The following is a 12,823-nucleotide window of genomic DNA, read 5'->3' on the forward strand; positions in this document are numbered from 1 at the left end:
TGTCAGAGCATTGACCATCACCGTGGTTTTCCTGGTTCACAGGCTTCCTGAGGGCTCCTCAGAAACATGTGTTAGAAAAGAAAAGCTTTCCGGTCTGTCCAGTCTCCTCCATGACCACAGTTTCTCACCCACATACCATTGTCTGGCTTGGAATGGATCCTGGAAGGAGGACTCAAGAGAAACCATAGAAACAGACAACAGGAAGTAAGTGTGAGGGAAGTTTTGGACGGTGAAAGTATTAGATTTGTCAACTGGGAAGCAGTATAATATTATAATTAAGCCCTACATAGAGTCAAACAAATGTTTTCAAATCCTACCTCTGACACTCATTTTTAAAATATTTTATTTTTTGGAGCAGTTTTAGATTCACAGCAAAATTGAGCAGAAAGAATAGAAATTTCTCATATACTCCCTGTCCCCACACATGCAAAGGCCCTCTCCATTATCAACATCCCCACACAGAGTGGTACATTTTTTACAGCTGATGAACCTACATCAACCCATCATCACCATCCAAGCCCATAGTGTAAATTAGGATTCACTCTTGGCATCGTGCATTCTATGGGTTTGGACAAATGTATGACACGTATCCACTATTATATATCATACAGAGTATTTTCGTTCCTTAAATATCCTCTGTGCTCTGCCTCTTCATCCCTCCCGAGGACAACCCCCAGCAACTATTGACCTTTCTACTGTCTCTATAGTTCTGCTGTTTCCAGAATGTCACATAGTTGGAATCATACAGTATGAAGGCTTTTTAGATTAGCTTCTTTAACTTAATAATCTGCAGTTAAGGTTCCTCTACATCTTTTCACGTCGTGATAGCTACATTCATTTTTCTGTGAGATTTTGGGCATATTGGTCTGTCTCTGTAAGCTTCCATTTCCTCATCTGATAGTAGTACCTATGCATAGGGTTGTGGTAAGAATAAAAACGAGGTGATATATGTAAAGTACTTGCCATAGCGCCTGGCAGGAAGAAGTACTTACTGTAGTGCCTGGCACTTTGTTCACTCATTTATTCAACCAATATTTGTTGTCTGCTGCTTCAAGGTCTGTGTTGAATGCTAAGGATACAGTGTTAAACAAAACTGACATGGTTCCTGTCCTCATGGAAATTACACTCTGGAGAGAAAGGTAGAGATTTAAGCAAATAAACACACAAGTAGTCTTTCATTTTAAACCATATAATAATTTGATAAAAAAACTATTTCTAAAATAGAAAAAATGGGGAAACAGATTTAATCTGGAGGGGTGGGGAGGGGATGCACTTAGGGAGAGCCACTCTGAAGAAGTAATATGAAGCTGAGACCTGAAAGTTGATTTGGAAATAGCCAGATGAAGCGCTTTGGGTGTGGGGGAACATGGGGAAGAGTGTCCCAGGTAAAGAGAGCAGGTCCTAAGGTAATAAAGAGCTCATTGGCCCATTAGAGGAACTGAAACATCAGTGTGACTGGAGTGAAATGAACAAGGGGGAACAGGGTGCATATGAGTTTGGAGACATAGGCAGATCCCAGATATTGCAGGGAGTCATGGGATCTCATTGGATGCCTATTCTTAAGAGAATGAGTGGGACAGAAGACTCAAAGGAAGAATAATAAGGGAGGAGAGAAAACCAAAAGAGAGGAATAACACAGAATAAGGGGTCTAGAGGGTGGGTGGGTGAGAGAGACAGAGAGAAGAGAGAGAGACAGAGCAACAGAGAGAGACACAGTGAGACATTTTGAAAGTCAAAAACAGAGAGGTTGAGGAGGATGAGGGCTAAGCAGGACCGAAATTTAGCAAGTAAGAAGTCCTTTGAGACCTCTGAGACAGCAGGTTCAGTGCAACGGTCAAAGTGAAAGCTAGATTACAAGGAGTTAAGAAGTAGTATGTGGTGAGGAAGTAAAGGAAGAAAAGGAAGTTAGCATATTTTTTTAGAAGTATTATGATGAAGGAAAAGAGAAAGTTTGGGTGATAGCTTAAGTGAGAATTTCTTCTTTATTTTTATTTTAGATTGGAACTTTTTGGGCATTTTTCTAGGCTGAGGAGAAGGATCTAGTAGGTAAAGATTGAAGGCAGGAAGAGAAAGGAGAACTGATTCTGCCTTCAGGAGGCCTCATTCCTGTAGTTATTTTGCCTGCAATCAGAAAGTAACAGACTCTGGTATCATGATCGGGCCAGAGACCTAAACGATGTGCAATTTCAGTCATAGATACGGTTAATTAAAAGACTGTACAAAGTACTCCCATGGTTTTTAAAATTAAAACTATAAATCAATATAGTAATATTTTTAATTTCTGTATTTTAAAACAACTGGCTTTTAAAGAATTTAAAGAAATTCATATTAGACATAATTAAGAATGTATTCTACTTGCACTCAAGTGCTGTTACTAGCTCCCTTAATATAATCCTGGTCTCATTTTTGCATTTGATAGAATCCTTTCTTTGTACTTACCCTGGACCATTTATTTAGGCCAAAGCCCTCTTAGGGTAGCCCCAGATTTCAGGTCAGTTTGGCATCAATGGCTCTTTCAAAGGAATTTCAGTTTTGATTTCCCAGTTGCTCATAGCTTTTCTTCTGACTGAAGAAGATGGAAAAGACATTGACCCTGCTGGGTTGATGGACTCATGGAACAAGCAAGTTTCATTTTGCCTGCCCAGTTTTCTTAACAGCTAGGAATGAGGCACATTTTCCATCTCACCTCCTCCCTTTTTCATACAGCAAAGGAAAAAAATTACTGAGTTTTATTTAGTTTTTTTAAACATCAAAGTTAAATATGCACATAGTTTAAAGAATCGAATATTTCTAAATTACTAATTACAAGAAACAGCATTCCCCCACTCCACCCCTTCATTTCCCACTCCTCAGAGGAAATCACTTTCAATGCTTTCACTAAATCTTTTTTTAGGGGGAGGAGGGAAATCATTGTATCTCTAAATAGCTACTTCTTAGTTTTCTCTATTGACTTTCCACTGTGGAAGATGGGGATTCAGTTTTCGCCTCTTCCTATACCACATGGGCTTATATTTCTATGTCATTATTAAACTGACACTCAGTGTTTATATTACTATGATCAAATAAATACTATTCACACCTGTGTTGCATAATAAATTATGATCACTTTCTTCAAAACTATTTTGCTTCCTCTGGAGTTAATAATTGTCTCATTTTTCATTTGCCTAGTTTTTCTATGCATATGCCACTAATTTAATCCATACTCCTCTGTAGTTGTTTAAGTCTCCTCTCAATATGTCCAAACAAACTTGGTATTCCATCAGTTTCATCTGGAAGAGAGCTCTTCCAGAGCCTACTGATCTGCTCCTCTCTGGGCTAACTGACCTCTAGGCCTGCTGTGCATCTGTCATCTTGGGACTTCCCTTTACCCACATCCTGGGGACTCTCTTCACCTCTGTGTTGAGTGCTCTGGTTCCTGAATTCCACCTCTTCCTCTTTCTTGACTCACAACACTGTTTTGGTGGAGCACATTCTTCAGTAGTTTCCTAAGAGAGAGTGCAGGGAAGATATAGCATTTGCCATCAGTGCCCTGCCCAAATTCTCTTGGCACTTAACATCCAGGCCTTCAAAACTGCCAGCACATATGTCTGTTTGCCTGAGGGCTTTTTCTAGCTACTGAAAGTTTGCTCAGGAAGTGTTGGGGAATTAACCCCCTTTTCCCTGGGAGAGACCCTTAACCAATGACTGATGAGAGTTAGTAGATAAATATCCCAGCTTGCTCAACCATGAGGGGGTTTAACCCTGAAGCATGCTTTCTACACAGGTCTCCCAGAGTTCCCCGATGGAGTCAAGTTCCACTGGTTCACAGTAACTTGCAAGATATATTAACTTCCGTAGGATCCTTTTCTCGTTACTTTACTCCCGTACAGATGTTTACTGGGGTCATCTCCCAAATAAACTAATTTTGCTCTTATATTTTTTATTTTCCATCTGTTATCTTTCTGCTTTCCTTTCTACTTTCCAAATCTACTAAGCTTTTTTATATTTTTGCTATCATATTTAAATTTCTAAGTTTTTTTTGTTCTCTGAATGTTCCTTTTAAAACATAGCATTCTGTTCTTATTTCATATATGCACTAGTTCTCTTATTTCTCTGGAGATATTATTAATACTTCTTGTTTTCTTTTTCTTTCAGAGATGCTGTCATTTCTGAGTTATCTTTGGAGCATTTCTCTCCAGTGTGTCAGGGTTTCAGAGAAGGCTTTCCTAACATTCAGGCTGGCTGTCAGGGTTTCCTAAGTAAGAGAAGATGGCAGAAGGCAATGGGTTTATAATCTCCTGTTTTTTCCCAGCATGTTGTCCTTTCACACAATAGTGCCTTGTCCCTTCTTTGTCTTACTCTCCCACCAGAAAAACCTCCATTCTTGGACATCGTGGGGAAGGGGCAATCCATCTAACAGCAAGAGGAAGAGGGGGCCTGGAGCTTTCATTGTTTCCTGAACTGATTTTCAATGCAACTTACTGTTTTTAGCCACAACTTCACCCTTATTTCCAAAAGTACCTGGTGCCACCAATTGCTGAGCATTTGGGGGATTCTGAAATGTAAAGTGAGTTGCTTTACCTTTCTCATCTGCAGGCTTAGGATTCAGCTTTCTCAGGTCTCTTGATTCAGTTACCACTCATTCATCTATGTTCTAGCTTTTATTTGTTTATTTATTTATTTTTTGAGACGCAGTCTCACTCTGTCACCCAGGCTGGAGTACAGTGGTGCAATCTCGGCTAACTGCAACCCCCACCCCCGACCTTCCCAGTTCAAGTGATTCTCCTGCCTCAGCCTCCCAAGTAGCTGAGACTACAGGCACCCGCCACCATGCCCGGCTAATTTTTGTATTTTTAGTAGAGATGGGTTTTTACCATGTTGGCCAGGCTGGTCTTGAACTCCTGACCTCAAGTGATCCACCTGCCTCAGCCTCCCAAAGTGCTGGGATTATAGGCGTGAGCCATTGTGCCCGGCCTTATGTTCCAGCTTTTAAAATTATCTTTCTTACTCTTGTCCTTTTTATATTCTTTTGTCCTTGTAGGTTTCTCCTTAAAAAAAACTCACCAAAATTCTTACTTGCTTACATATGCATAAAGAAACTCTGGAAACACGCATAAGAAAGCATAACAGTCCTTATTTCTGGACAGGGAGAAAGTGGAAACTGAGCTGATGGGAGACATATATGAGGGAAACGTTTCAGGCTGTGCCTCTTTGTATTTTTCTGGTTTTAAAACCATGTGAATGTATCACTTAATCAAAACATTAAATTTTGGTTGAGTTCTAGGAGGGAGTGGAGCATGTGTTTAATCTGCTGTCTTTAACCAGAAGTCTCAAGTATTGTTTTTCTAAATTAGCAGCTTCAATGTTGAAACCATGAGAAGCTACCCAGCCAAAAGCCATTCCAAACAAATCCAGAGCCATAAGCAAAAATATAGACAAATTTGGCTTTGTGAAAATTAAAGATTTATGCAAAGCAAAAACCAAAAATCAAATCAAATTTAAAAAGATCAGAAAACCAAAAACAAATTGGGAAAAAATTTTGCAACAAGTATGACAAAAGGCAAATTTACTTTAAAATATGGAATTTTGACCAGGTGTAGTGGCTCACACTTGTCATCCTAGCACTTTAAAAGGCTGAGGCAGGGCTGGGTGCTGTGGGGGGCCGAGGCAGGCAGATCACTTGAGGTCAGGAGTTCAAGACCAGTCTGGCCAACATGGTGAAACCCCATCTCTACGAAAAATACAAAACAATTAGCCGGGAGTGGTAGCACATGCCTGTAATCCCAGCTACTTGGGAGACCGAGGCAGGAGAATCACTCGAACCTGGGAGGTGAAGGTTGAAGTGAGCTGAGATTGCGCCACTGCACTCCAGCCCAGGCAACAGAGTGAGGCTTTGTCTCAAAAAAAAAAAAAAAAGGCCAAGTCAGGAGGGTGCCAGACTGCAACTCCAGTCTGGGTGACAAAGCAAGAACCTATTTCAAAAAAAAAAAAAAAAAAAAGATGAAGTTTTTACAAAGCAATTAAACACAGATAAAAATCCAATAGAAAACAACAGGCAAAGGACATGAATATACTACACAGGTGAATACTTACAAATGGCTTTTAAATACATGAAAAATGTTCAACCTCACTCATAAATTAAAGAATGAAAATCAGAACAATGAGAAAATCAGTTTTCACCTATTAGAACAGCAAAATTATAAAATCTGATAATATACACTGGTGACGTAAAGATTTGGTGGGGGGGAGTCTAAAATATTTTTAGTAGGATTAAAAATTGTTACTAAATTTGCAGTGCATTTTGGTGCTATCTATCAAAATGTTAAAGTTACATTTACCTTTTGACGCTGCAACTTCCCTATCAGACATGTATCTGCTTGCACTGGGCATTAAGACATATTTACTTGCTCACTTCAGCTGCACATATGCTAAAATTGGAAGGATACAGAGAAGATTGTCATGGCCCCTGCACAAGGATGACATGCATGAAGCATTCCATATTTTTTTAAAAATACATATTTACAACGATATTCACTGCAGCATTATTTGTAGTCACAAAAACTGTAAGCAACCCAACTGCTTACAGGAGGAAATTGGCTACATAAATTACAGTATATTCATTCAGAGGGATATTAAGCAGCCAATAAAAAGAATGAGGCAGGCCAGGCACAGTCACTCACACTTGTAATCCCAGCACTTTGAGAGACCAAGATGGGAAGATCAGTTGAGGCCAGGAGTTCGAGACCAGCCCGGGCAACATGGCAAGGCCTGACTCTACAAAAAATAAAAAATTAGCGAGGAGTGGTGGCACGTACCTGTTGTCCCAACTACTTGGGAGGCTGAAGCAGGAGGATCCCCTGAGCTCAGGAGTTAGAGGTTGCAGTGAGCTATAATCACACCACAGCACTCTAGCGTGGGAGACAGAGCAAGACCTGTCTCTAAAAATAAAAATAAGAAAAAGAATGAGGCAGCTTTATATTTATGGAATTATCTCTAACATGGAGTCTTAAGGTTACAAGCAAATTATGGAACAGTGTATATGGAGTGATCCTATTTGAGTGATTTTTTAAGTAACTTTTCTTAAATACATAGATGTGCTTGTGTACACACAAGATATCTCTGGAGGAATACATAAGAAACAAATCATTATTACTACCTCCAGAGAAGAAACTGGGAAAATAAGGGATCAACAAAGGGAAGGGGAGTTTTTTTCCCTTAAAAACATATGTGTGTGTATATATATATAATCTCCAAGTGCATGATTTTTAAAAAAATAATAGGTACATTAGTAAATGTTTTCGGTCGCAAGCAACAGAAACAATTTATAGTTAATCTAAGCAGTAAATGAATTTATTAAAAAATATTAGGTAGTTCACAAGCTCTCCAGGAGGACTAGAAACCCAGGTTTAGAGGCTACATAGCCAGAAGCAACACCTAAAATTGTACTGCAGAACAATATCATGAAGTCATCAATGCCCCCACTGCATGGAAACCACTGCTCGGTGAATGCCCCAAGCCTGGATGCTGGTCCCTGCTGCTAGAACCACCAGAACCACCACCACTGTAGCATCTAAAAAATGAGTGTTGTTATTACAACTAATGCCACTCCCTGCTGCAGAACAGATTCAGCAGTCTTTGCTATTTGAGGTCACTAGCTCCTGAGTCAAAAAGCAATGCAGATCCTTATGCCTATGCATACCTGTAAGGGAAGCTGGAAAAGAAGTATCTGACATTTTCAGCTTCTAAAGTAAAAGGTTGTCCTCTGTATCCCATCAAGGCCTATAAAGTGATGAATGCTTCAAATATAGAGCATTTAGATAACAGAGGTGGAGAGAGAGAGAGAGAGGAAAATAAGGAAGGAAGAAGGAGTTTCACATCAGTTTTCACTTTGCTTTGGGGGAAAGTATCCTGGATGCCATATGACATACTCACTTTCCTGTGTCTTTTGCATGTACTGTTGTTAAGAATCACAGGACTTCAGAGTAGAAAGTTCCCGATAGAGGATTTAGTTCAAAAGCATTGTTTTCTAGTTGAGAAAAACAAACTCAAGTAAAGTTTGGGAAAACTCAAGTTGCCCAAAATTACTCATAAGAGTTTCTGATTATGTGATTAGGTTCTCCCAGTCCAGGGCCCAATCCTCCATAGAATGTTCGGGTATTATTAGTACTTCAGCCAAGGCTCTAATGCAGTATCAAGATGCAGATTTGCTTCTGGTAGGGCTTCTTGAAGAAACTGGTGCTACTTATTATAAATATTATTAAACATTTGTATAGGACTTTAATGTTTATTTTTTAAAATTTTTATTTGTAAATAGTAAAATCATTTATTTTTAAAAAACAACAAAAATATAGGAGGATTTAAAGTAAATGGTAAAATTCATACCTTCATCTTGCTTTCCTACTCCCTAGGAATAATCAGTGTTGAAAGTATGCTGAGTATCTTTCAGTTCTTTTTCTATGTGTATGCACATATATTTGTAGGTATTTATAGACATACGCATACCACATATATAACCTTTCATATCTTGCTTTCCCACTCTACATGCATCATGGACATAACTGATACTTGAAGTGGATTCATGCCAGTAAGTTATTGCTAGGTTGGGAAGCACCGCATGGAGACATGGTGCCTGAGGAGAGGATGTCACAAACCATGAAAGGCTTGGTGGTAAGGTGATATTTTTGGTCCAGTGAGCTTCATGGTGTCACTTGAAGTATAAATTGCCTCAGGAAGAAAACATGGGCTGCTTCAAAACATGAAAGTAACCTCCAAAATCATCTAGCTCAACCTCATTTGTAGGTGAAGAACTATTTTTCCTGGGAGTGGGGGTGATTATGGACCTTGCCCAAGATCACCCAACCAGGACAGTGACAGAGTTGGGATTTCTTTCTTTCTCCAAGACCCTGGCTCATTGCATTGTGTTGCATTGCTTTCTGCAAGTTTCAGAGGAGAGAGAGGGCAGTGGTTAGTTTGAAAACACACATATGCTCAGATTACATTTGATTTCTCAGACTGTAGTGCTGGGGCTCCCTGCCTGACTGTGTCCATGAGTTCTTCCATGAAGTTTTACATTTAGCTTTTCTTTTGCCCACTATATGCCTTATTGACTACCATTAACCATCTCCTTGGGGACTATGAATCTTACTTTTCAGTCTTTTTATGGCAATTTGCACTCTTTACTAACACAGCTTTATTATTTGTTCAGGTCTTGGGAGAATATTGAGTAAGACATTATATCAGATGGATGACAAAAGGAGGGGAAAAGCAAGAAAGACCACCAAGTTTACATAGATACCAAATTTATTTAATCAGGGAGGAGTCATTTAGTGCCAATGAGGGAGGGGTAGAATACACATTAGAAAAAGACACATCTTCTGCCTGTAGGAGCTTACTTTCTAGAACAGTTACCTCTAGTCTCTTTTCTTCATACCACTCCATCAAAAAAAAAAGAAAGAAAGAAAAGAAAACCAGCATACATGCCTAATAATTGCATGTTTGCTATAAATTCCATACACTCTACTGTGACATTTTAATATTAGTAAAGCCTAATTTTCTTAATATTTTAGATTAAAAAATAAATAGAAGCAAGTATTCACATATGTTTTTCTCATACCTCTATGTACCATTTTGAGCACTTCACTTTGGAGTCCAGTTTCAACAGGAGAATCAGATGCACACCCAAAATACTAGAAAGCTTGGGAGTGTGAAGAGGGCTCTAATGTCAGGGTAAGCAAAATATTCTTAGGGCATCAAGGAAGCATTGCCAGAGGAAAGGAAAGCTGAGGATATTCAAGGACTTCTGACCTACTCCGTGGGCACAGCGTCTCTGGGCTTGGACAAGGGATTAGTGCCAGGCTTGATTTCCTTGGCTGGAATCTGTACATGAAGGCTGCACATGAAGAGCCTACCTCACCCCAGAAGCATCCATTTCCTGGCACCTCAAGCATATATGGGCTTAATAAATAACATGTCATTCCATGATGATAGGGACAGACATATTTGGCCCATAGCTTAGAGCCATCCCCAATTGTCTACACTCAATGGTGGGGCAGCAAGTACTGTGGATATGGAGCTGGGAGGCTGAGCTAAATCCTAGCTATCTTACTAACCAATTGTATGACTCTAGCCCTTAAACTCTCTGAGCTTTAATTTTCTCATCTGTAAAATGGGAATGATAAATGCCTTCCAGACCTATTTACAATTTCTAACATTTGTTGAGTTTTTCAATGTGCATTACATGTATCATCTCATGAAATCCTCATGACAAAATAATGAGGTGGAGCTATTATTGTTCCCCTTTTGCAAATGTGGAAACTAAGTTTTAGAGTAGGTAATCTGCCTACAAGTTTACACAGCTAGAATGTGCAGAGATGGGATTCTGAGGCTTGCTCAACTCTGAAGCAAATGTCCTACCCACTCTACTTGGCTGCTGACCATGAACACACTTCATGAACTCTGAAGTACGAACAAGGTACACAGAGTGTAAGATTTAGTCCTTGTCCTTAAGTCTAAATTCAAAATATGTTTATCTATAAAGCGTGTTTTTCTGTTTTTGTTTTTTTGAGATTGAGTCTCGCTCTGTCAGCCAGGCTGGAGTGCAGTGGCATGATCTCAGCTCACTGCAACATCCGCCTGCCGGGTTCAAGCAATTCTCTGCCTCAGCCTCCTGAGTAGCTGGGATTACAGGCGCCCGCCACCACACCCAGCTAATTTTTTTTTTGTTTTTATTTTTAGTAGAGATGGGGTTTCACCATATTGGCAAGGCTGGTCTTGAACTCCTGACATCATCATCCACTTACCTCAACCTCCCAAAGTGCTGGGATTACAGGTGTGAGCCACCATGCCCAGCCTATCTATAAAGTGTAAAAGTCCGACAAAGTAGGATTTGGTTAGAATGAAAAGGTGGAGAAAGAACTTCAATGTTAGTTTCCTTATCTTTAGTCCCTTACAACGGTATATGATTACTGGAAAGAGCACTTGGTTAGCAAGAAGAAAACCAGTTCTGTCCCATACTTGCTCTCAACTTTAGGCACTTCATTTAAGCTGTTTACTCATCTATTAGGGGTCCTAATGAATGAGCTCTAGAGGGTCTTTTTGCCTGACAATCCTCAAACTCCATTCTCAAAACTTCCTGCAATCGGGAGTCTCCCTCCCCTCCATGGAGAGGGCGGGACAGAGGCATGTAGACAGGGAGGCGATCCTCAGGTCAGCTAGGGCTTACTCAAACAAGGTCCTGTGGGGGCAACAGGGAGAGTGGATGGGGACTCAAGCCAGAGCCCTGGTGGGATGGGCCGGTAATTATAAGGAAACACTGCAGAGAAAGTTTCTGTTGTGGTTGTTCCCTTTGTTTACTTTAGGCAGTTCTGTCATTTTTTAACTGACCCTTCCCAGATGAGATAGTCAGTTTTCAGCTGGGTAAAGTCAGGGCCTTGCAACTGATGGGGTATTTGAATCCTCTGTGGCTCAGTTGCTGGAGGGAGGCCAGGGCAGCTGAAACTCCCCCGCCCTTTCAGGGAAGTGAAGCTGGGGCTACAAACTTGCTGACAGTGGCTGGTGGCCTGTAAACCCAAACATCCTCCTCTCCTCCGTCTCGGTGTAGCAATGTGAAAAAAACAAAGCCACGAGCTTTCCAGAGCAGGGGAAGGCTCTAGCCAGATTCCCTTCCAGCTACTCCCTCCTGCACTTCGGCCCACAGCCACATGGTACAAGGTTATAGTTACAGTTGAAAACTGCTGACGTCTACTTTTTGGTTGTTGTACAAATAATAATTAATAAAACACACACAAAAAAACACACTTTTCTTCATGGCTAAATATTCACATAGTTGATTCAAACCTAAATATGCATACTTGCTTTTCTTTTCCTGTTTTCTTAAGTTTGAATAATAGTCATGTAGCTGTTTAAGAATCAGACAGAAGGAAAACTCATCCGCTTAGTACTTTTCTTAAATTGTCCAGTTTCTTTTGGCCTCTGAATACCAGAGTCTTTTATGTGTAAGATTAGAAACATCTGGCCAGCATATCTGAGTAAGGCTGAGCTAAAGCGGGATGAAACTAGGTAGAATGGCCTGCCTTTCTGAATTATAGAATTTTAAGCATTGATGGGACTCAAACTTACTAAATTCTACCTCTTCATTTTGCAGATGAAAAGACAGTCCCAAGAGGTTAGGATTTGCTTAATGTCACACAGCCTGCATCAGAGGTGAACCCAGAACCCAGGTCTCCATACTCCTAGTCTGGCACTGTTTTTATATATATATCCATGCTTAGAGAGGACTTGTGTATTAAAATTTTTTTATAAAAGTGCATCATCCCTGTCTTTGAAATTATTTTGCAATTCTTACCCAATTATTTTGCAATTCTTACCCACTGTGTATATATTCTTTAGGAGAAGAGAGAGAGTTAATGTTCATAGAACACCTATTATGTGCCAGGTTTTTCCTACATCTTCTCATTTAATTTTCACCATGCTATGAAGGAGGTATTATTCTACCTGTTCCACAGATGATAAAACTGAGAGGTTAGGTACACTTGCCGAAGTTCACATAACTAGGAAGTAGTGGACTCAGGATTCAAATCCAGATCTCTCTCATCTGCAGCTCCCAGACTGTGCTACACCACATTGCCACAGCCACTGTGCACATCACAGCTTACAGTAACATACTTTCCACTTTTCAAATTATGACCCAATTTTCATAATCACTACTTTTGTGGATGTATTCACTCATTCAGTAAATTATTTATTAAGCAGCTACTCTGTGCCAGGAATAGTCAAGACACTGAGGATATAGTAGTGAGCAAAATACATAAATCCTTGCTCTCATAGAGCATGGGTTACAGGGGGA

The 12,823-nt window shown here is 40.0% G+C and overlaps 1 pseudogene; it reads left to right on the top strand.

The window, feature by feature from the left end:
• On the top strand, positions 6,384–6,484 carry RNU6-465P (RNA, U6 small nuclear 465, pseudogene; annotated as a pseudogene).

This window comes from Homo sapiens, chromosome 1 (genome assembly GCF_000001405.40).
Source record: "Homo sapiens chromosome 1, GRCh38.p14 Primary Assembly".
Lineage (NCBI taxonomy): Eukaryota > Metazoa > Chordata > Mammalia > Primates > Hominidae > Homo > Homo sapiens.